General features: G+C 42.9%; 2 annotated features.

The window, feature by feature from the left end:
• Nucleotides 14724–14924: a silencer, noted in NCBI's record as "peak3419 fragment used in MPRA reporter construct". NCBI's record gives its function as "represses an SCP1 promoter by STARR-seq MPRAs in K562 erythroleukemia cells {active_cell/tissue: K562}" and the evidence as "EXISTENCE:reporter gene assay evidence [ECO:0000049][PMID:32103011]".
• Nucleotides 14945–15145: a silencer, noted in NCBI's record as "peak3420 fragment used in MPRA reporter construct". NCBI's record gives its function as "represses an SCP1 promoter by STARR-seq MPRAs in K562 erythroleukemia cells {active_cell/tissue: K562}" and the evidence as "EXISTENCE:reporter gene assay evidence [ECO:0000049][PMID:32103011]".

The following is a 26142-nucleotide window of genomic DNA, read 5'->3' on the forward strand; positions in this document are numbered from 1 at the left end:
GTGCAGACAGGCAAGACCAGCTGTGAGCCATGATCTGTCATTCTCCCTAAAACAAGTTTCAATATTTCACAGGGAAGGGACAACATTTTTTTTCTATCCAAAATAGTCATCCTTTCTTCTATTACTCCCTTACTTATAAACCACAATTACTGTGGTTGAAGGGATGAAGTCACAGTCAGTCCTGGCCAATAGAAACTTAAAGGTCAAGGTTTCCATGAGTGCAGGGCAAGTACAGCTGGAGGTACCCACAAAATGTTTAAACAGTCAAATTGCCCCTTGTGAAGGAACTAACCTTCCTTTTCTCCCTTCAACAGATGCACAGTGAGCTCCCACTATGTTCCAGGCCTCTGTGAGGTGCTCAGGTAAAGCAAGGAGCAAAGCTGACATCGTTCCTGATGTCACAAACCTGCAAGTTGAGCTTTTTCTTTACTGCAAGAGGCAAGTAAAGAAATCTTCACAACCACGAGTGAACAGCATTGCAATAGAGAAATCACAGGGTGCTGTGGAAGTGAGAGAGCAGCTCTTCACCTTGTCTATAGGACGGGTCAGGAAAGGAAGGCTTCCTTGGATTAGTCTAAAACATAACGGATGGCTCCAAGGTAGCCAGGTAAAGAGAAAAATGAAAGGAAGCTTCCAGCAGGAGAAAGAGCAAGTGTGATGGACTAGAGATGAGAATGACCACGAGGCCAGGAGAAACTGCAGAAGACTGATGGAGAACGAAACCAAGAAGAGAAATCGGGGAACTGAGCCTGCAGGGCAGTCAACAAAGATCTTTGACCAAATGTTGAAGACTTTGGGGTATATCCTGAAGGCGATGAGGAGCCATGGAAGGAGTTTCAGCAATAATCAGATTTACATGTTAATCACATACCTTTGGCTACAGTGTGAGGGACAGCAGGTGTGAGTGTGGAAAGTCTAGTTAGGGTGCTGTATTAGTTGTCATTGCCATGTGAGGAATTATTCCAAAACGTAGTGCCTTAGAACAGCAGCATTTATTGTCTGTCTCACGGCTTCTATGGGTCAGGAATCCGGGGGCAAATTTCCTGGATCCTCCGGCTCAGTCACCCTCAAGGCTGCCAAGTGTCATCCAGGACTGCAGTCACCTCAAGGCTCCACTGGAAAAGGATTTGCTTCTAAATTCAATCATGGCAGTTTGCAGCTGTTGGGCTAAAGGCCTCAGTATCTCACTGACTGCTGATCAGAGGCCATATGGGAGCTGACAGCACAGCTGCCTATGACCTCAGATTAAACAAGGAGAGGAGCCAGAGGGAGAGTTGGTGAGCAAGATGGAAGTCATGGTCTTTCATAGTCTAGCTTCAGAAGTTGCATCTTGTTACTTTTGCCGTATTCTGTTCGTCAGGAACAAGTCACCACACCCAAACCAAACTCAAGGGGGAGAATATGTCATGTGGGCATGAATTCCAGGAGACAGGGATCAAAGTGAGCCATCTAAAATGCTGCAAACCATAAGAGCTATTAAAATAACTCATGCATGAGATGCTGATGGCCTATATGAGGGTAGCAATAGTAGAAAGACAGAAGTGAACAAATGATAAATGAATCAAAAGGATTTGGACACTGGAGTTAGAAGACGGTAGAAGTCAAGAATGATTCTCAGGTTCTGGTTTGAGAAAGTAGGAGGATGATTATGCTACTTGCTGAAATGTAAACACTCAAGGAGAAATAAATTTTTGGAAAGAAATTTTATGCATCTTGTTTTGTAAATATTCACTTTGTGGTGCTTGTGAAACACTGAAGCAGAATTGTCAAATAAGTTGTTATCTTTCCAGGTCTGATTTGGAACAAGAGAACTATTTGTTTAAATGTATATATTAAAATGAATTCTACTCACTTGTTAATCTGGTTGTACAAAGCCATGGATGAATGAATGGATAGATGGATGGATGGATGGATGGATGGATGGATGGATGGACGGACAGATGGACAGACGGATGGATGGATAAATGGATGGATAGATGGATGGATAGATGAATAGATGGACAAATGGATGGATGGATGAGGTGATGGGTGGCCCATCTGGTCCAAATATGAAAAGAAGATCATAGCAGTAGTATCCATCATTCCGTAATTATCTAGTCAGAAAAGATATAGATCAGCCCAGAAAAATTTTTCTCCGGTTGCAATGTATTGAGATTGTACAAATCCTTCTGTCCTTCCTTTGGATATGACACATTGACTATGACAACCACGTTATGGAGCTGGTGCTCAAGCCAAATTTTAAGTTGTCAAGAATGTGAAAGCACCTGAAATGCAAAGGACTTGTATGACAGCTTTCAGTTGCAGATGTCTCTGACCAATAAGAGTAAACAGGATAGGCTCAGAGGATTGGAGTTGCAAAATCAAGGGCCATTTGCCTTCCGAGATCCAGAAAGGTCTCTCAGGATTAATTGATTTTGGGATATGAAGTCTGGTCTCACTAAAAAAATGCAGGTGTATGACGGGAATCAGTTAACTGTGTTTTAGTTTTATTGTTCAATGACATCTGTTTGTTGTAGCCTCCCATGAATGTTCATGAGACATAACTCTGAAACTTTATTTTATGACAAAGCCAAAAGATGGCAAGGCTTTTCAGAAAAGCCTTCTGCGAAAACAGGTAGAATTATCTTGAGCGAACAGATCAGTCCTAGCAAATCCTGGTCTTATTCATATTAATGATGGTAGGCCAGGCGTGGCGACTCATACTTGTAACCCCAGTGCTTTGGGAGGCTGAGGCAGGCAGAATACATGAGGCCAGGAGTTCCAGGCCAGCCTGTAAACATGGTGAAGCCCCATCTCTACTAAAAATACAAATATTAGCCAGATGTGGTGGTGCACATCTGTAGTCCCAGCTACTCAGGAGGCTGAGGCAGGAAAATCGATTGAACTTGGGAGGAAAAGTTTACAGTGAGCTGAGATCGTGCCACTGCAGTCCAGCCTGGGTGACAGAGTGCGACTCTGTCTCAAAAAAACAAAACAACAACCAACCAACCAAATTAATGATGGGGGGATAAAAAAGGAACAGCATGTTGGAAACAAATGTTCCTGGGTATCCCTCCACTAATTCACACATAGACCAAAATCCTGGATGTCATTAATGTGCAAGATGGTAGCAGCTTCTTTGGCCACACTCCTCCTTTCAGGAGCTCTGGAAACAAAGCCACATCCTTTTATTCCCATCTACAAAACCAAACCAACAGTCCTCCTTTAGTTTTTTCATTTCAAGGTTGTCTATAAATCTTTGCTAAGGAGAATTCTGGTGAAACTGTCAATGAAGGCCTGACTGAAAATCACAATAATTTCTTCTATTAACTAGGGGAAAACCAGCTATTCATTACGGATGGTTGCTAATTAATTTTCTAGGTGCAATTGTTAATTATAACAAGAATATATTATACCTGCTGAAGGTCTGGTTGAAGATAAAGTAGTCACCAGAATCCTATGAAGAACAGCAAAATATTAATAATTATTAATTATTAATTAATTTAGTTAAGTGATCAACTAAAAATCAGTATTACATGTCTATTGAGAATTTACAATGTGCCAGGCATGGCTCTAAGCAGTTTACATTGAACTTTACAACCCCACCATAGGGGTGGGTATTTTGTACACAAGGAAGCAGATGTACTAAAGGATGAAGCAGCTTGCCCAAGGTGACAGAAAGAGAAACTGATTTATTATGGGAGGTAGGGTAGAACACTTCAGAGCACTGTATTTTAACCTTTGTGTTCATTACAAAACTCATTCCATACAACAGTCCTGCAAGGCAGGCAGTGGAACCATCTCGTCTTATAGATTTGAAGCTGAGGCTCTGAGAAAAGAAATGACTTTCCTAAAGTCATGCCGCAGCAAGAGTGGGATGCAACTCAAACCCAGCATGAAATAATTCACAGTCCATGACCCCAGCTGCTGGGGATAGTACATGAATGGCAAAATAACCATTTTCCAACATAAGAGGATAAGTTCTGTTTAAGGAAGTTTCAAACATTCCACAAAACTCAGCAGTGAAAGATGAGCAAGTAAAGGGAAAACTAAAGTCACTCTACATGAAGAATCCTTTAAGAAGAGAAAGACGTATCACAGTGGTGTGAGCACCTCATCACTGATAGAGTTGGGCCCAGCCTGACTGGCCTTATGTGGAGGCTGATGAAGGAGGGATTCTTACATCAAGAAGAGGTTCAGCCATGAACCTGAGGTCCTCTCCAACCCCAGGACTCCATAATTCACATAGATAAAGCTCCTGTTTCTTTAATTCCTGGGAGTTTTGTTCTTTGTATTTTGCATTTCTTACTGTAAAGCGAAAAAAAAAAAGCAGATTGGGAACACAAATTTTCTTAATTTTCTAATTTTTTATTTTTCAGGGACGGGGTCTTGCTCTGTCACTCAAGCTGCAGTACAGTGGCACGATCACAGCTCACTGCAGCCTGGAATTTCTGGACTCAAGAAATCCTCCTGCCTCAGCCTCCAGAGTAGTTGGGGGTACAGGTACATGTTACCATACCAGAGTAATTTTTATTTTTTAATTTTTTTGTAGAGACGGGGTCTGGCTATGTTACCCAGGCTGGTCTTGAAGTCCTGGCCCCAAGCAATCCTGCTGCTTTGACCTCCCAAACTACTGAGATTACAGGAATGAGCCACCATGCATGGCAAATTTTTTTTTTCCATTTCAATCATCCAACAGAATTAGAGATCAGGTTAGGTGATATGAAAAATATAAAGAACTAAACTTCAGTGGTTGAATCTCTAAGAAGAAAAACAAGCCCTAACATTAGTAAGAGTCACATTTGAATTTAGCAGGGATATTTTATTTTTCACCTGCCACTGAAGTGATCTGTGTGGCAGAGACAGACACATTGAGCTGTGAGCAGCATGGGTGGATGGTTCAATGCAGACTGGATGTCCTTGGGTTTTAGGTTCGGTACTTGCTTTAGATAAATTTCTTTAAAGATTTTTGTAAATTTGACTCAAGGAGATCATGCAATAGGAATTCTTTTGCTGAGACCTTGGATGTTAGACACTTGGCTCACAGATCCTAATTCAGAATGTAAACCACCCAAGTGCTGTCAGCCTATTCAGTTCTGTGACATGAGAATGCTGTGCTTTGAACACCATGCTTCTTTCTTTTCTAAGAGCAAGCTTCTTTAGCCTGCCAAACTCATGAAACAGATTTTCAGCAAAGAATAAAAGCAGAAAATAAAAGAAGTTGGCAATTTGCACGTGTTCAGCTCAGTCTCCCTCTCTTACCCTATGCAGGCTGAACTTCCATGTTTCTGGACACATTGGCTCAGGGACATAACACTGCACTTGAGAAAGATGCAATCCTCAGAAGCCACTAAATAGAGACCCTTGTCATCCATCTACCAAGTCTATCAACCTTGCAGCATCACTGCCTCCTCTCTTTCTGTCCTCGTACAATTGAGGAAGGTCCTTCCACATCTGTGCGAAAGGCCCACTGCTCTGCTTGAGCTGTGCACCTCAACCCCTTCATCCTCATGAGGGACCCCACTGACTCTCTTGTTCTCTGCCCCTCCTGTATCTTCACCAACCCCTTCATCTTTGTATATATTCTGTTAACCTGCAAAATACTTCAGTATCTTCTACCTTTAAAAGAAGAAACTGTCTACCTCACACACTCCTTCAGAGTCTGTTCTATCCTTTCCCTCCTCTTCACAGCCAGTCTTCAAAAATATTTGAGTTGTCTACCTACCCACCTCTACCTCCTCCCACTCCCATTCTCTCCTGAATCCACCCTGAATTGGCTTCATCCTCATGTCTCCATCCAAAGAGCTCTTATCATGGGCACAAGAAGACCATGTTTCTAACTCCTATGACCTTTTCTTTTTTCTTTCTTTCTTCTTTCTTTCTTTTTCTTTCTTTCTTTCTTTCTTTCTTTCTTTCTTTCTTTCTTTCTTTCTTTCTTTCTTTCTTTCTTTCTTATTTCTTTCTTTCTTTCTTTCTCTCTTTCTCTCTTTCTTCTCTTTCTTCTTTCTTCTCTTTCTCTCTTTCTTTCTTTCATTATTTTTTTTTGACAGAGTCTTGCTCTGTCCACCAGGCTGGAGTGTGTGATCATGGCTTACTGCAGCCTCAACCTCCTCATCTCAAGCAATTCTCCCATCTCAGTCTCCTGAGTAGCTGAGACTACAGGCATGAGCCACCATGCTCGGTTGATTTTTTATCTGTTGTACAGAAGGTGTCTTTCCATGTTTCCCAGGCTGGTCTGGAACTCGTGAGCTCAAGTGAGCCTTCCAAAGCGTTGGGATTACAGGCATGAGTTACCACTCCTAGACCAGTGGCAAGATTTCAATCCCCGCTTCACCTGGTCTCTTGAAAGCATTTGCCATTTTTATTCAAATGCCTTCTATTCCTGGCTTCTGGCTTTCCTTGGACCTTTCAGTCTGTGTTCCTGGAACACCACCTTCCTCACCCTCCTTTACATATAGAAGTGCCTCCCACACGTAGACTCTCTAGTATCTTTGCTGAATTAATTGACTTGAGGCCATCCTGGAGAATGGTGCAGCCAGTGATGGAGCAAAACACAAAACTCACTAGTGTAAGCTTGGGAGTCAGATCTGGGTTCACGGCCCAGCTTTCTTCTTACCAATTCTGTGACCTTGAGCCGCTACTCTCTTTCCTTATCTCTGAAAGAGAGCTAAATGATAACTATAATAGGATTTTTCTGAGAATTTAATTAACACTAGAATTAAAATTTCATAAGGGCAGAGATCTTCATCTTTTTTACTCAATCAATAATCCATATCACCTGCATTCTAGAGGTGTTCAGCAAATAATACCTGCACACCAAATCTAGCTCTCTGCCTGTTTTTGTGTGGCCCCAAAGCTAAGAATGGTTTTTACATTTTTAAACAGTTGGTGAGGAAATGAAGATTATGTGATAGAGTCAGTGTGTAGCCCACAAAGTCTAAGATATTTACTACCCACCCTTCACAGAAAAAGTTGCTGTAAATCCTGACAGAAGTTAGATATTCAAAAACTATTAAATGAATGAGTGAATGAATAAAGTATGTGCGCATCTGAAGCACTGAGCAGTGAATGCATGGAGTGTATGCCACTAGCTAATGTATTGAGTGCTTTCCCAAAGGACATGCTGCCATCATCATCACTATCGCACACGTGGAACTTCTCCAGAGGAAGACCACTCCACGGCTCCCGATACTTGATACTTGTCAGACAACCTGCTGGAAGATGAAATATTCGGAATACCTCTTGGTCTTTCTAATATCAAACCACTCACTTGATGCTGCTTTAAAAAAAAACTGTTTACTAAATTGAGAGGTTGTTGTAGTTATTTTATATATTTGACGAAAAAATATATTTTATGAATAATTTATTTCAATTTCACTGCTAGTGACTCAAGCATGATGATGCCTTCTTTTTTTTTTTTTTTTTTTTTTTTTTGAGATGGAGTCTCACTCTGTTGCCCAGGCTAGAGTGCAGTGGCATGATCTCGGCTCATTGAAACCTCTGCCTCCCAGGTTCAAGTGATTTTCCTGCCTCAGCCTCCCGAGTAGCTGTGATTACAGACATGCACCACCACACCCAGATAATTTTTGTATTTTTAGTAGAGACAGCTTTTCACCATGTTGGTCAGGCTGCTCTCGAACTCCTGACCTCAGGTGATCCACAGGCCTTGGACCTCCAAAGTGCTGGGATTACAGGGGTGGATGTCCTTACTCTTAAGAACAATGGTTTCTATGCACTCAGGACCTTCTGATAACTTGTTTCAGGCAAAAGAAACCCAAATGTGATGGATGGACATATATGATTTTTGATACACTGCATCCATTCTCTGTTCTTTGGATAATTTTTCCCTGTTCTCTTGTAGGAAATCACCCTTTCCCACTCCCAGTCCATGAATGTCTGGTGGGACTGACTCTACCCTTGACTGCAGGAGAGGGCATGGGACACAGGACTGACCAGCCAGTAAGTCCCATTCCTATGGACATGAAAATTGGTTAAAGAACAGGCATGGCACGTTCGGAGTCAGAGAGAGACAATGAGACTTTAGTGGGCCCTTTGGGAAGAAAAGCATACTCTCTTTTCCACCAGGCTTAAACTGGAAACAATGAGGGATTTGAGCTACTGGCAGTCATCTAACAAGTGGAGTTTGTTCTTAGAGCCAAAAGAGAAGATAATAGCCACTGAATGAAGAGAACTTGAGCCCAGTGCCTTCATGGGAGCCCCTGGATCAAGAGTTCACCTAACTCTAGTCTTTTCAGTCATCATGTGACCAATAGATTTCAACTTCAGCCAAAGCCAGGGTGAGTTAGAGCTGTTTGCTTTAGAGGAATAAAAACCAAATGATGCACCTGTCCAGTTCATCACTTTCCATTCCATGCTTCAAGTTAGTCACCCAAATAAGAGAAGCAGGTAGCTTTTGATGAAGCACCATCAGGAAGCAGCCATTCCCTCAAGAAACATGGTACTGAAATCATCATGTCAGACACTCCATGTCTGTAAGAGGCCTGCTGCATGATCTTTTGAGACAGAATGGCAGAATTTTAAAGACAGATGGAACCTTAAAGAAGACCATATATTTAGGAGATTGAAAATCCAAAAGCACGCAAAGCCAAGAAGGAAATGTGATTGAGTGAAGGGATCAGGAATGAGAGAGCAGCAACACAGGTACCGTGAAAAATGGCAAATGACACTCAGCCTCAGGGACCAGGAGCGGGAGGCGGTGGTGGGCACAGGGCTGCCTGGGGGGCACCCATTCGCCTACCTGAGCAGCCTCTGTTCAGTGACAGCTGACCATGTCGAGGCTCAAAGATGCAAGATTCTATGTGAAAGCTATCTTTATTTTCTCATATTTTAAGCAATTTTTATTTGGTTCTATTATTTGTTTATTCATTTCAATAGCTTTAGAGGTACAAGTGGTTTTTTTGTCACGTGGATGAATTCTATAGCAGTGAAGTCTGAGCTTATAGTATACTGCACCCATCACCCAAATAGTGTACATTGTACCCAATAGGTGATTTTTCATCCCTCATCCTCCTCCCATGATCCCTCTTTTCTGAGTCTCCAATGTTCATTATACCTCTCTGTTTGCCTTTGCATACCCATAGCTTAGTTCCTTCATATAAGTGAAAAATGTGGTATTTGTTATTTTTATTCCAGAGTAAATTTACTTAAAATAATGGCCTCCAGCTTCACCCAAGTTGCTACAAAAGACATTATTTTGTTATATTTAATGGCTGAACAGTATTCCATGGTGTATATGTGCCATGTGTTCTTGATCCACTCATCAGTTGATGGGCACTTAGGTTGGTTCTGTATCTTTGTGGTTGTAAATTGTGCAGTGGTAAACATACAACTGCAGGTGTCTTTTTCACACAATGACTTATTTTCCTTTTTGAGATGAGGGTGAAATGAGAGAATCTCTAAACTCAGTTTCTCTGAAACTCAGGTCTCCTCAGGCTCATGGCATGCACTGTTGTGACATTATAAAATATGCAGGGTTGGTCTTTGATATGTCTTGTTTATGGTTTGTTTTGCCCCACCAAGTCTCAAGTTAAAATTTGATCCCCAGTGTTGGAGGTGAGGCCTGGTGGGAGGGTTTGGGCAGTGGAGATGGATTCCTCATGAATGGCTTGATGCCCTTCTTGCAGGAGTAAATGGGTCCTCACTCTTCATTCCCAAGAGCACTGGTTGTTGACAAGAGCTGGCCCCTCCTGCTAGCCCTCTTACTTCCTTCTCTCACCATGTGATCGCTCCACACACCACCTCCCCTCCATCTTCCACTGTTTTCATCTGAGGCCCTCATAGAAGCAGATGCTGGCACCATGCTTGTACAGCCTGCAGAATCATGAACCAAATAAACCTCTTTTCTTTATAAATTACCCATCCTCATGTATTCCCTTATGGCAACACAATCAGACTAAGAAAAATCTTCAACCCTGTTTCCTAGCATATGACCCCTAAATCCTTAATATTTCCAAAGTGATGTCTCTTGTATACCAATGAATTTGCTGATGGCTGGCAGCCCTAGGTAGCTTCAGGATGGGTGTGGTCAATGGAAAGACCGAGGCACGACTAGACAGTTTGGGATTTTCAGCCCCACTCCCAACCTCCAGGGAGGAGAGAGAGGCTGAAGAATAAGTTGATCACCAATAATTTCTTCAATCATGCCTCTGTAATGAAGCATCCATAAAAAACCAAAAAGACTAAGTTCAGAGAGCTTCCAGAGAGTTGAACATGTGAAGGTTCTTAGAGAGTGGTGCACTAGTGAGGGAATGGGAGCTCCATGCCCCTTCCCCCATGTATCCCATATGAATCTGTTTAGCTGCATCTTCTGTAATATTCTTTAAAATAAGCTGATAAACGAGTGTTTCCCTGACTTCTGCAAGTCACTCTAGCAAACTAATCAAACCCAAAGAGGGGTCCACAAAAACCCTGACTTATAGCTGGGCTGTCAGAAGCACAGGCAAAATAACCTGGGGCTTGTACCTGGGTTTGGAGGCAGGGGCTGTCTTGTGGTACAGAGCCCTCCTCACCCTGTGGAACCTGATGCTCTCTTCAGCTAGGCTGTGTCAGAACTGAATTGAATCAGAGGATACCCAGCTGGTGTCTACTGCAAACTGACTGCTTGCGTGGTATGTATGGTGAGGGAACCTTCACATATTTGGTCGTAGAAATCTTCTGTGTTGATTGTTGTGAGTGGGATAAGAGCACAGGAAAAACAGTTGGTGTTTTTAACACTCAACTGTTAAAAAGTCATGCACCTAAATGAAGGATTCAACTTCTTCAAAGATGAGTCATAATTTCCTATTTCCAAACATAGTCATTGCAAATTAAGAGCATTTGATCTAATTTCAAAGACCTCAGCACCACCCTGGGTAAATATGTTAAGTGAGTCCTAGAGAAAATGTGGACACTCCGAAACATGAGCTTGCCTCTGATTTTAAAACAAGCAGCACAGCACCAGCACAGCTTAGCTGGGATCTGTTCATCTGTGCATAGACAAGCAGGCATAAATGACCTTGGTTTTTTTCGAGCTGTTCTTCCCAGGGGTTCAAACCTCTAATTAACTTAGCTTCTCATTGTTTATCCAGGAAAAAATCCAGAAACATCTCCTTTATGTCCATTAAACCATCCAGTCTTAGGAAGCATCCAAAACCAGATTTTAGCCCTCCTGAGATGCCCATGTCCAGAAAGGGATTTATTTTAACTATGAAACATAACATTCCATTTGGTCCTAATTCTCTGGCACTATAATTTTTTGGACACATTGTTACTGAATATATTTGTTGCAGATGGTTATGTAATAGCAACATTGGAGCTCGGCACATAATCAGTCATGAAAATTGTGTCCAGCTCATGAAATAAAAATCAGCAATGCTTGGAAGTGGGGCCAGATACTTCTATTAACTTCCTAGACATTGGAGGGCTGGGAATTTGCTCTAGGTGTTAATGAAAAGGCAGAGAGGCCAAAAAAAAAAAAAAAAAAGATTTCCTCTCCCTTGGGGGTAGTTTGGCTCTTCTTCACCTCTTGGAATATGCAGAGCTACCAAAAAATATATACAATTACAGGAATACAGAGATAGCTGCCTGTTTACACAGTTAAAGAAAGGCTTCCCTCAGGGTGCAGCAACATTGTTCTTTAATTTTCTCTGGCCACAGCTGCCTGCTGTTTTACTCTGTATATAGTCAAGAATAGATTATTTCATTTCTGGAAAAAGTAGGATGATAGACTAAGCAGGGGTTCCACCTTGGGACCCTGGGTTCAAGTCCTGGCTCTGCCTCTAACTGGCAAGTCACCGAATCTCATGGAGTTTTGAAATATCTGATAAACTACATATGGACAGCTTTTATTCAAATAAATATGACCAGGAAAAATCTCCCTACTAAATGCATCTCTCCTTAGAAATCTTATCACGGTTGTCATTTTATAGGTTTTTCTGGGTTAATCTTTGATGAATGTTGGTCCCTATGGCAGACGTTGTTAGTGCCTCCCCTACAGCCTCTCATTTTAGGGGGTTCAACCAGTTTCTGTGTCTCTGGTTCTGAGACCTTTTATTGGAATCCCGGAAGGCGATTGTCTTGCAGGCTATAAATGCTAAAGAATTAACAGCCAGTGGCAGCAGCAGTAGACCAGTTATTCTCTGGAGTTGATGTATAAACACCCCAATCTCTTACCCTTTGGGAGGAATGATTCTGAAGTATGTATTTTTAAATATTTTTAGCTTCCCATGGGTTTAAGCTTCAGTAGTTCACTGTGGCATCTGGCTTAATAGCACCCCCTTTATTGACTACCTTCTCTTTCCTGTGTCACTACACCACTTCTCTACCAGTGTCACCTGAACCTACAAAGTAAACTACTTGCACTGGAATCCTTGCCTCAGGATCTGCTTCTGAGGCATCCCAGCCTAATATAGGCTTTTTCATAAGACTTTAAGCCTCAAAATCACTGTGTATGACTTATTCACCATCATCCAAAGCCTACCACAGCATATGGTAATAGGACCTCAGAAATAATTGAGGAAAAATGGAGGAAATGTTTATTATTGCTGCTGTTGCTGCTGCTGTTATTCAGTGTGTAACACACAATCAACCCTTCACTGAGCAGAGTCAACAATTCATCTCTGATTCTTGGAAAAAATCAGGTTTAGGGATTCCTGTTTTTCATTAGTGAAAATGAGAACAGGGTTGGGAATCCAGGTCTTTGGGGAAAGGCTGTCAGGCAAAAGGTCAGAATCCCAGAGGCAGAGGGGATTTGATCTTTAGTGTGAGAGCCTCTGCTGACAGATACTTACCGTCTAAAGGAGGTAATCCAGAATTAAAGTCAAATTGACAAGCCATTCCTGTAATTGAGGCTAAAAGCAAGATAAGCGAGAAGCTGTAGATATAGTTAGTGGCATGAAGGACAGGCATGTCACCTCTGGAAAAAGTACGAGTTAAGCCGGCACACCACCTCCTAGTGCCAGTGACTCAGAGGTTTCAGTGAAACATGCTTGGGATTAGTCTGCACCGAAGGCCGGCCTCACCCAGCTCCTGACAAGGGGTCATTTTTAGCTTAAAGAGGTGCCATCAGCTTTAATAGGCTTCAAATCTTACCTTAAAGTCACTGACTCTTCACAGGGCCCAGTTTTCCAGTATAGTTCCCACCTGCTGGCCCATTTCACCTCATTCAGGAATAAGCTTGAAAAGCAAAAGAATCCAAAGACTGTGCTTCAAGATCAAAAGAATCACATTAGCCCAGGAATCACAGATTGAAATGTCTACAGTCACCTGGCCAGGACCTGCTAAGTCCAAATGAATAACTGCTCTTCAGTTACAAGGCAGAAGTTCAGATCCAGTGTGGCCAGACTTTTTCATGAGAAGCTATATATCCGGGTTTATGAGTAAAAATTCTTCTGTTCTTCAATATTAACAAGTAATTACTATTTTAAAAGTAATAAAACCAAATAATAATAATAAAATTACTATTTAGGCAAAATTGGTAGTCAGTTGGTACTCACCAGCTCAGCTGTCAGGATTGTTAAATATTAAAATCATTCCACTTAAATTGGTAAACAGGCCAGGTGCAGTGGCTCATGCCTGTAATTTCAGCACTTTGGGAGGCCAAGGCAGGAGGATCACTTGAGCCTGTAAGTTTGAGACCAGACTGTGCAACATAACAAGGTCCCGTCTTTACAAAAATATAAATAAAAAATTAGCCAGGCATGGTGATGCATGCCTGTAGTCCCAGCTAGTCAGGAGGCTGAGGTGGGAGGATTGCAGGAGCCCAGGAGTTCAAGTCTGCAGTGAGCCGTGACGGTGCCACCCCATTCTAGTCCGGGCAACAGAGTGAGATCCCCCCTCATGATAAATAAATAGGTAAATAGTCATTATCCTAAACCCCCTAAATAACCTCCCCACCATCCTGGCTCCTGTGGTCTGCCCAAGAACCTGTCAGACTGCTCCATCATTCAGCAACTAAAGGGCAAACAACTAACCAAAGGATCCCCTCAAGAATCCTGTTTCATAAATCAACAAGCAAGAGGAAAATCCATTAAAAAGTGGGAAAAGAACATGAACAGACACTTCTCAAGAGAAGACATACAAGCAGCCAACAAGCATATTTTAAGAAAGCACATCATTACTAATCATCACAGAAATGCAAATCAGAACCATAATTAGATACCATTTCACACCAGTTAAAATGGCTATTAAAAGTCAAAAAATAAATATTGATGAGATTGTGGAGAAAAGAAAATTCTTATACATTATTGATGGCAATGTAAATTAGTACAGTCTCTATGGAAAAGAGTATGGAGATTTTTCAAAGAGTTAAAATAGAACTACCATAAATCATTCTACCAAAAAGACACCTGTACTATTATGTGTATTGCAACACCATTAACAATAGCAAAGACACGGAATCAACCCAGGTGCCCATCAATGGTAGACTGACTAAAGAAAATGTGATATATATATGTATATTATATATATATTATATATATTTTATATATATATATCCCAGCTATATATATATATATTTATATATATATATATATATCCCAGCTATATATATCCCATATGTATATATGCATGCTATGGAATACTACACAGCCATAAAAAAGAATAAAATCATGTCCTCTGCAGCAACATGGATGGAGCTGAAGGCCATTATCCTCAGTAAATTAATGCAGGAACAAAAACCAAATACCACATACTCTCCCTTATATGTGGACACTAAACATTAGGTGCACATAGACATAAAGATGAAAACAATAGACACTGGGGGCTACTTCAGGGGGGACAGGAGTGATACATGCTTTGAAAAACTTTTTATTGAGTACTATGCTTACTATCTGGGTGATGAGATCAGTCATACCCCAAACCTCAGCATCACACAGTATAACCATGTAACACACCTGCACATGTACCCCACCACATTTAAAATAAAAGTTGAAATTTAAAAAGAAAGAAAAAAGAAAAATTAATAAATATAAAAATCTCTCCACGTTAATTTAAAAAAAAAAAGGAATCCTGTTTCAGCACCATGGCCAGCGTCGCTTAGTCAGTGCCTGCACTACTCTTTTTTGTTTTTTGTTTTTTGTTTTTGACAGTCTCGCTCTGTCACCCGGGCTGGAGTGCAGTGACGAGATCTCGGCTCACCGCAACCTCCACCTCAGCCTCCTCAGTAGCTGGGACTACAGGCACTCACCACCACACCCAGCTAATTTCTGTATTTTTAGTACACAGGGTTTCACCATATTGGTCAGGCTGGTTTTCAACTCCTGACCTTGTGTTCCGCCTGCCTCGGCCTCTCAAAGTTCTGGGATTACAGGCGTGAGGCACTGCTCCCAGCCTCTTTTTTCTTTTCTTTTCTTTCTTTTCTTTTCCCTTTTTTTTTTTTTTTTTTTTAAGATGGAGTCTTGCTCTGTTGCCCAGGCTGTAGTGCAGTGGTGTGATCTCGGCTCACTGCAACCTCTGCATCCTAGATTCAAGCGATTCTCCTGCCTCAGCCTCCCAAGTAGCTGGGATTACAGGTACCCACCACCACGCCAGCTAATTTTTGTATTTTTAGTAGAGACAGGGTTTCACCATGTTGGCCAGGCTGGTCTCGAAATCCTGACCTGACCTGATCTGCCTGCCTTGGCCTCCCAAAGTGCTGGGACTACAGGTGTGAGCAACCGCACCCAGCCTTCTTTTTCTCTTTAAAAAAAACTTTATGGAGATGTGGTTGACATGTAAAAAGCTGTGCATATTTAATGTATACATCTCAATAAGTTGGTTGGATATGTATACACCTGTGAAACCATCACCACCATCAAGGCCACAAACACATCCATCACCTCCCAAAGATTCCTCCCACCCCCTTTATTATTATTAGTGTTAATTGTTGGGGGGGAGGTGGTAAGAACATTTAACATAACATACACCCTCTTAGCAAATTATAAACATAAAACACAGTATTGTTAGATACAGGCATTGTGCTCTTAGGTAAATCCCCAGAACTTACTCATCTTGCATACCTGAAACTTTGTTCCTTTTACCCATCACCTTCTCCTTTTCCCCTCCTTTAGCCCTGCCTGCACTATTCTTTGGAATTATCTTTAATATCATCTCTGGGCACAAGTCATGAATTGAAACACATATGATCCTACAGGAATCCAGTTTGAGATTCCTAATTTATTCCAATTCCCTTCATTTTATAGTCGGAGAAACAAAGTCCAGCACAGAGGAGGGTACTTACCAAAGTCATGAAGCAAGTCACTGACAGAGCCCTGACAGGAGCCCAAGACCCTGAGCTCCCAGGCCAGGGCGCTGTCTTTTAAATCAATGGCTACCAAACCTGTGGAGGGATATGGTTTGTTAAAAACAGATTCCTTCTCTACCCCACTGCTGCCAAAACTATGGGGTGGGACCCAGCCCACGCTGTTTTTAAGAGCTCCCTAGATAATTCTGATGATCAGAAGATTTGCAGAACATTGTTGCAAACTGTGCCATTGTCACGCCAGCGACACGTTAGCCACCCTCATCCCTATGCGGGAGAAATTTTGAAATAAGAGGAGAATCTCTGAACATATTATTCATATAATTTTTAACAGATTTTTACACAGAAGACATGCGTGTGTATATGTATGTGTGTGGATGTGTGTATGTGTGTGTGTTAGGATGGTAAAACGGTTTCTCCCAAGCCCCTGAAATGTGTCTTATTGCTATACTAAATAAATAAAATTAAAAAGGAAAGTTTCAAAGACTGATAGTGATGGATCTGCAGAGAAATGGAGATGTCATGTTATCAGAATGGGACAGGTCCTGGTTTAAACCCTAGCGCCACTGCTTAGACGATGTTGTCCTTCCTCAGGCATCTCACTTAAGGTTCTGCACTTTACATCTCCATCTATAAACTATGGCACCAACTCCTACCAGGCGAAGTAATTGTAGGTTTTGGAAATAAAGTTGTCAGTTCTGGATTACGCTAGCAGTGGATTCATCAGGAACAACAGGAGCCTCATCACAGAGCCGGGTGAACATGTGGCATCTGCTCTGCTCACAGCGATGGCAGAAGAGCCTTAGCAGCCTGTGTCCAAGCCCAGCTACAAAAGTGAGGGCATCCCAGGCCCCTGTGATCCCTTTGCCACCTCTGACGCTCACACTGATGAGGCCCAACTCACCCGCCAACAACTGATTCTGGGTTTCCTTTTTCTTTCTTTTTCCTTTTAGCAGTGATTTGGAGTTACCTATATATTTCTACTGTCACACCCTCCATGTAACTTTAGAACCAACCTTAGTCATAAAGCATTTTGCACAGTACTGGCATATAGGGGCAGCCACAATGAACATGACTATGGCTGGAAGGTGTGGTATGTTGATTGAGAATCCCACTGTAGACCAGACAGACCAAGGTGCAGCTACACAACTGTGGATGTTATTTTTAAACAATGTCTTTGAGTCTTAAATTCACTATCAGTGAAATGAAGACAATAATGGTAGCTCCTACATCACATTATTGCAAAAGCTAAATGAGCAAATCTAGGAAAGGGCTTAGCATAGTGCCTGGCATGTAATACATATTCAATAAATGTTGCTATTGGTGATATTACCATTAATGTCATCATTAATTTCATCATTCAACCTCAAATTTGAGGGAGGCTTGACAATAGCTTGTAAGATTTGGTGATAGGACTAGCAGCCTAACGATGGCTACCAAACCTAAGATAGACCCCCTCAAGTCTCTGAGTCCAGGAGAAGGGTGTTTGCACTATGGCTTCAGGCCACAGCCAGCTGAGGAAAATAGTTCCAGAAGAAGGCATCTCTAAGTCTGAAGGCTTGCTCCAGAAGGACTGCTGGAAAGCCATCAACCACTGTGAGCCTTGTTCCTGGGGCTCAGCTGAGGGATGCCAAGGAGGAGTTCTGGGAGATCTTGAGCTTCTGGTGGCCCACGGGTGTCTGGGAAATCTCAGATCTCCCAGATCTCAGATCTCCACCAGTTTTTATGTACAACGTGTAAGTTAGACAGGCAGGCCATCAACCCAGGATTCGAAGACAGGCTTCATGTTTCTTGATCTAAATGTTGACTCTTCCCTGAACACTCCAGGATGCAGCACAGAGCCCAGCAACAAAGAGACAAACTTCCAGACATAACAGCTGTATTCGGAGTCCAGCTCTCCAGCAGCCTCAGGGTGTCATTGTAAGGATCAGACACCATTATGTAAAGTTACTATAGAGTGTAAATCAGGATAATTATTATTAACATCATCACTACATGGGCTAAAGTTTTCATCACAATACTCAGTGTGCAAAAATGTAACTTTCTGTAACTGAACTCAATTTTTTACAGTTCACATTTTTGTCCGACGCAAAAGTGTCATATAGTTACCTCCAGATAAACTCATTTTCTTCTGGGTAAATGCAGAAGTTTCAGGATTAAAAGTGTTTCCTCCTCCCCCACCTTCTTCTTCTGGATGGGGGATCTCAGATAGCCCAGGTGGCGGTGGGGGACAGGGCAACTCCTCATCTGAGTCTTGGTATCAGGGAGGCGTCAGGTCCACAGTCATTCTGACATCCGTGTCTCCTTCAGATCCAGGAGCCTTCTCCTGGCCACTTCCAAACTGGCCTCAGGTGCAGAAAACTTTTGCCTGCTTCCTCCTGTCTCTACTTTGGGGGACTGTCTCAGGCCCTTTGGTACCTAGACACACAGAGCACCGTTTGTTTGCCTTGACTAGGGTAGAGGTGCTTTGGGGCTCCCTTTAAAGGCACTATAAAGGCACTCGTTTATAGCCGGTCCCCTGAAATACATGCGGGTCTCTAAGCGTTCAGCCACCAGCTGTCTTCAGGTCTCAGCAAGGCACAGACCCATGAGCAGAACAGATGCTGTATCTGCCCTTATGGGGCCAGCAACAGAAGACAAATAATAAACCAGTGTGCAAATCAATATACCTGGGATTGCAAATCAAGAAAGCTCAATCGAGGTAAAGTGGGAGGAAGTGGTAAAATAAACCAGGGTGGGGGGCCTCTTCTATAGTTATCGGGACCAGGGAGGGCTGCAGAGAAGGTGTTCGCCGCGCTGGGGCCTGCAGAGAGGAGAAGCCTCTGCGTGGAGAGGAGGGTGCAGGAGGAGGCAGGGTGGACACTCAGGTGGGAAAACAGCCTGTGGGGGAAAGGCCTTAGGAGGCCTGGGCCTGAGCTGGGCTTGGAAGCAAGGTCAGCATGGCTGGAACACAGTCAGTGGAAAGGCAGAGCCAGGCCTGAGGGGCACGGCCACAAGTGGAGTTTATCCTGAGAAAAATGCAAAGTCACAGAAACTTCCATTTTAGGGATTATTTTTAATTATTGAAGGATTTTAACCAAGGATGACATATATATTTTTGCCGGTAAAAATATTCTGTTAGCAACAGATCTCAACAGAGGCAGTCCGGCCACTCCCAGAAGACATGACAAAACTGTAGGGACATTTGTGGCTGTCACAATGCTTTGAGCACACTATCAGCATTGGGGATGTCCAGCGATGCTAAACATCCTTCAATGGATAGTAAAGTCCTGCACAGTGAAGACTGTTCCCCCCCAGATGCCACAAATGTGTTTGTGATGAGATTCACTGGGGATCTAGTAGCTGCTTGGAAACAAAGAGTAGAGGGAGGCTGGGCACAGTGACATGAGCCTGTGGTCTCAGCCACTCAAGAGCCTGAGGCTGGAGGATCACTTGAGCCCAGGAGGTCAAGGCTGCAGTGAGCTCTGATCTCCCTTCTGCACTCTAGCTTGGGGGACAGAGATCCTATTTAAAAAAAAAAAAGAGTAGTACCACACAAGTGGTAGCAGGGACAGAATTAGGACAGTACTGGAGTTTTCCAGGTGGGAAAAGATGATGCTGAGATGGGGCTGGAGCCTCAGAGACAGAGAACAGTGGGAAAGTAGGCAGACACTGTGAGCTGAGCACACGGTGTTTTGTGTTAGTGAGATGTGGTCCCAGAGTCAGCAGTGCTCCTGGTGGCCAGGAGCAATTGTCTAGAGGTGGCAGCTAAAGAGAACCTATGTGAAAAGCACGTGGCTCAGGCAGTCACTCAGAGGTGGCATAAAGAGGGTTTAGAAGGAAGCAATGGGAAGTTCATCTGGAAAAGGACCCTGTGGGCAAGTTTTTGCTGAAGGGCATGGTATCTATTCAGGAATGCTCCAGTGAGCTTCCTGAATATAAAGACACTAGCTCCTTCCTCTATGAGGGGATTCCCCCTAGAAGCCCACCAGACTTGCCACCTCCCTTCCTTCCCCACACCCCAAACTAAGCCTCACAACTGTAATTTGAGTGTTCTCCACAATGTTTTAAAGCCTCTGAATACTTGCCTATTACTCCGAAAATTAGCTGCCATACATAATTAGGCTAATTTGGTATAATATTCATCCGAAATGTGAACATGTTATTAATAATGAAAGCAAACATATGGAGCAGGTGTCCTTGCTCTGTCGAGAGATGGTGGCTAAGTCATGAGCTCTGCCCACGAATCCTTGCTGTGCCTCCCCCAGTCAAGAAGGCAGCATGACTAGGAAAGACCTTGCAGAGCCCCAGGACCTTGTGGGAGTCCTCACTGGTGGTTATTTACTGGGGCCCCATACTCTGAATGTAGCGTTAGCATTTATTCCAGTAGATTCTCCTCGCTTCGGGCAAATTCAAAAAACAATCCCATTCAGAAAACACTTATTGTGTCTCCTCTCTGCCTCTCAATCAGCCTTAGTCTGTATCCTCTTGTGGATTGACAAAGATTGCAGAAGAGACCCTAGAATGAGGACAACCCAAGGTTCATGGGGTGGACTGAAATATACTAGGTGAGAAATAGGAGGTGCAAATGATTGGGAATAATTAGGGTCTCTGCCCAGCTGCCCTGTCATGTTACAAATGTGCCCACACCTCATGACGCTTCCTGTGGGCCTGCTGCCCTTTTCCACAGGTGGCATGGCACTGAGCTGGACACCCACATGTACAAGTGTCCATGTGAGCTTCCAGACATCAAGGACAGTGTTTAAAACAAGCATACCTAAAGCCACGGTATTGAAACTAGGCTACGGTGGGGAAACAAACCATGCTCTCTCTCTCTCTCCCTCTCTCTCTCTCTCTACTCCCTGATTAACTCACTATAGCCAATTTGAATTTGGAAATTAGAATTTTTTTAAAAGTTTTCTAAGTTTTTAGGTCAGTTTATTCTGTCTGTCACATTAAATCACCAGAGAGAATGTATTTGCCATAGATCAGACTTTCTTTTCATTTAAGAGCATTCTCATCAAGAAGGCTTCCCTAATTATGTTCAATCATAACAACATGGAATGGGGAATCCGTGCATTAAAAGGCAGTCTCACAATGACACGTGGCTAGTAGGAACTAGAGATGTGCTGTCAGACGTTTCTGAACCATGCTGAAACATTAGATCTGAAATTGACCCTTGCCTTATCCATGCCACCATACCAGACTGGCTTGGGGAAAATTAGGTAAATCACTTTTCCATTCCAAATACATTTGGAGACCTGTGACTTTTTAGAATCATTTATATGGTTATAGCAGACACTGTTGATGGGACCAATCCCCTCAGTTCGCCTGAGGTCATGTGAAGATGTAATAGCTGGTTCCCAGCTTGGTGACAGCCTCCTGCCTCAAGTATTTGCACCTGTCTGCTTCTCTGCTGAACTTTCTCCAGCACCACAAGTATTTGCTCCACTAAGTGGGGACATATGCCAGAATTTCAGGGGCAGGGTACCAGGGAAAACCCTCAACCAACAGAGGTGGGAGTCAGTGAATAAATGCCTCCACCTCCCCACCTTCTGGTGAGACAATTCTAGGTGTGTTCCATGGAGTTTCTTAAAGGGCCTCCAGCCAGGTGGATTCCCAGTGACCACTCATATGCACAACCCTCATCAGCTTTCTCCGTCCCTGTCTCATTTCCCCACTCCCTCACTTGTGCTTCCTGAATTTGTCTACAAGAAGATAGAATCACATGTCCTCGAATCTGAGTCTGCTTCTGCAGGAACCCAAAATAAGATAGAGACAGAGATAGTTTCATAGACAAAATAATCCCCCCTCAACTGATAGGTTTTAGAACATGATGTTGCAGTAAACTCAGGCCAAGCTGCTCACCACCTGTCATGCTGAATACAAGAGGTGAGGTATGGGGAGAGGGAAGTAACTTTTATTCCAAATGCCAGCAGCTGGGGAGATGTCAGGGCTCAAGTCATGAAGAAACCATCTTCAATTGCAGGCTGGGTGAAGGGTGTAAGAAGGGAAACTTAGTATGAGAAACATGTGGGGTCCTGCTGGGTAAGGGCCTGCATGTCTCGTTCTGAGGGCTGTCTTGGGCGTCTGGAGGTCTGGTCGTCATTATCTTGACTGCAGCCCTAGTGGTGGTGAACACATTGTTCATGACTCCCCCTAAGTGGGAGGATTTCATAACAGGGGCCCATGCCTGGTTTAAGATGAGCCTCTGGGAGTGTTAAGTAACCATGCAGTTAGATAAGCATGCATGGGACAAGGGAGTGTCTGGTGGGAAAGAGAGAGGAACATGAATTTCAAAGCACACTTCAAGGCTATATTTCTAAGCTTAGGAAAAAGAGTTCTGAATGCATTTTGAAGATATTTGGTTATAGTATTTTATTGTAAGCTTTTGGAAATGTATGTGTACTTATTTTTATATGCAGATACATGCATAAACATTTTAAATAAATGAGATCAAATTATGCAATAAACAGAAAGATACACCACCAAGACCCCCTTACTTAGCAGGAAGCTTTCTGTCCCAGATGCTGAGAGTGCTGTGGAGGTCTCCTCCGAGACTGCCTACCCCAGAGTGCATGCAGCCCCTGAGTCGGTCCCCATATTGGGTTCTTGGCATTTGGAGGAGAAGCTGTAATGGGGAAGACCACGTGGAAGCTGCATCACTGGCCAAACTAATGAGTCTGAAACAATACCATATTCTAAGGGTAGGTGGGGAGGTGGGATTAGTGCCACCCTTAAAGGTCTTAGGAATGCAAGGGTAATGGTCCCTATTATATATTCATTTAACTCACTCATATGGCCCCTGAAGAACTAAATGAATTCTGAAAAATGGCTTTAGACTACTGAAGACATAACCAAGTAGTAGCCCATTTATAACTGAAATAAACTCATAAATAAGTATGTGGGACATTTGTAAAATAAGCAAAAAAAAAGTACTAAAGAGCAGAAAAGAAGACTTGAATAAATGGAGAGCCATACTAATGTTCCTGAAACTGAATATTTAATCAAAACCCCAGAGACTGTAATTCTTCCCATATGAATCCATCCTTTTAAGGGTCTTAATCAAATATCAAAAGATTTATTTTCAGAATATGAAGGCAGTATTCCAAAATTAACTTTGAAAAACAAATGAACAATAATAGTAAAAACTACATTCAAAAATATATTATTAATAAGAAGATAAATGGCAGGATGATTCTATTATTATTATATATAATACACTGTAAACTAAAATAATTTATACAGAGATAACAGAATTTTTTAAATTTAAAAATAGAATACAGAGTGACACATCCAAAATCTCAAAGACCTCTAAAACTCAATTCCTTCTTAAAAGCAATGAGAACACTGGGAAAAAATACCAAAATAACTCTTCCAGAACTCTAAAAATTAACTGAAGACCTGCAAAAATGTGAGCCATGTTTATTCAAGAACAGCAGGTGAGTCTTGGTAGGTCGGTGAGCTTTGTGGTTCTGACTTGTCCCATATCACCCCTCCCTGGCCCGCAGCAGCCTTCAAAACCAGAAACCCCACAACCATGTTTGTTCCCAAAACCAGCAGTCTTGTAGCAACTGGAGAGTCCCAGTTTAGGGAGCTGCAAAAAGCCCCAACCCCAGAGAACTGACCCTATTTCATCTGTTGGGCAGCACCTTGGAAAAGCCCCATGCACAGGTCTTGTTATCATCTCACCTGATCCAGAAACTCCTCAGGGAAAGTCTTCAGCCAGGGTGGGTGTGGAAAATGGTAAGTGACAGTTGTTTAACCTCACAGCTGCCTGAGAAAGTGATAGCAGTTGCAGCATGTAAAAGACTGTGCAGAAAACGTAACAGGAAGTCTTGAAAAAGAGATGTTTACAGGGGACTTCAAACACTCTGAGATATTCCTGTGACCCCACAGGTCGTGGGCATGAGCAAGGCTCTGGCCCACCCAGGAAAAGACCTGAGAAGCCCCAATCTCTCACTTCTGGCGGACCTCAAGTTCCTGCACCAACAGGCAGCAAAGGCTGAAGCTGAGCTCTAAACTGCCAGAGTGCTGGAGGCATCAAACCCTGACACAGAGAGAGCCCTCAGAAAGGTGTAGAAGATTCACTGGAGACATCACACCCAACACAGAGGAGAGAGAACCCTCGGCGAGGTGTAGAAGACTCACTGGAGACATCATACCCAACACAGAGGAGAGAGAGCCCTTGGTGAGGTGTAGAAGGCTCACTGGAGGCATCACACCCCAACACAGAGACAGAGAGCTCTCGGTGAGGTGTAGAAGGCTCACCGGAAGCATCAGACCCCAACACAGAGAGAGAGAGAGCCCTCAGCAAGGTGAAGAAGGCTCACTGGAGATATCACACCCCAACACAGAGACAGAGAGAGCCCTCGGTGAGGTGTATAAGGCTCATTGGAGGCATCACACCCCATCACAGAGGAGAGCGAGCCCTTGGCAAAGTGTAGAACACTCACTGGAGACATCACACCCTGACACAGAAAGACAGAGAGAGAGCCCTCGGCAAGGTGTAGAAGGCTCACTAGAGGCACGACACCCCAACATAGAGGGAGAGCACCTTTGGCAAGGTGCAGAAGGCTCACTGGAGGCATCCCACCCCAACACAGAGAGTGAGAGCCCTCAGCGAGGTATACAAGGCCCACTGGAGTCATCACATCCCAAAACAGACAAAGCTCTTGGCAAGGTGTGGAAGGCTCACTGGAGTCATCACACCCAAACACAGAGAGAAAGCTCTCAGTGAGGTGTAGAAGGCTCACTGGACACAGAGAGAGAGAGAGAGAGAGCCCTCAGCGAGGTATACAAGGCCCACTGGAGTCATCACATCCCAAAACAGACAAAGCTCTTGGCAAGGTGTGGAAGGCTCACTGGAGTCATCACACCCAAACACAGAGAGAAAGCTCTCAGTGAGGTGTAGAAGGCTCACTGGACACAGAGAGAGAGAGAGAGAGAGCCCTCGGCAAGGTGTGGAAGGCTCACTGGTTCAAGACATCCAAGGGATTTGTTCAATCATTTGCTGACCACTGAGCCAACCAAGCATAGATGTCAATGGTTTCACTGTATTTTACAAGAAACAAGGACCTCACAAAGTTAGTCCAGAAAAGTCACTAAACAGCAAATAGCAACAACAGATCCTAGGGAGAGGGAGTGACTCGTTTCCAAAGCTTTCAAGTTATATTATTTTAAATGTCCAATTTTTAACAAAAACTTCTGAAAGATGCTAAGAAACAAGAAAGTATGATACACACACACACACGCACACATGCATACACACATGCACACACACGTGCACACACATGCACACACATGCACACACACATACACACACATGCACACAGTCATCAGAAACTGTTTGAGGGACCCCAGATGTTGTCTTTACTAGAAAGACTGTAATCGGCTTTTACAAGTATGTAAAGTATGAAAACAATGAACACCAAATGGAGAATATTAATAAAGAGATATACAATACTTAAAACACTAATGGAAACTCTGAAGGTGAAAGAAACAATATTTTTTAAAAAAATCAATGGAGATCAAACAGCAGATTTTAGTTTAAAAAAAAGAATCAGAAAACTTGAAGATGCATTAATTGAGATTGTTCAGTCAAGAAAGAGAAAAAAGAACTATGAAACATGAACAGAGCTTCAGAGACCTGTAGGGCACCATCGTGCAAGCCAAATAAACATGAGTCACAGGAGGAGAGGAGACAAGAGAAAGAAGCTAAAATAGCTTTGCAAAAAGAATGGTCAAAAACCTCCCATATTTGGTGGAAATCATTAAGCACTGTGAAATTCAAAAAACTCCTAATAGAATAAATTCAAAATGGGCCAAACCCAGACACATTATAGTCAAACTGGCAAAATATGGAGTGCAGAAATAGGCAATCAGAGCTGGTCATTTAGTATATAGTATAAGCGGCATTTCAATTCACTGAGGAAAACTGCATTGTT

The sequence above is a fragment of the Homo sapiens genome, chromosome 19, assembly GCF_000001405.40.
Source record: "Homo sapiens chromosome 19, GRCh38.p14 Primary Assembly".
Classification (NCBI taxonomy): Eukaryota; Metazoa; Chordata; class Mammalia; order Primates; family Hominidae; genus Homo; species Homo sapiens.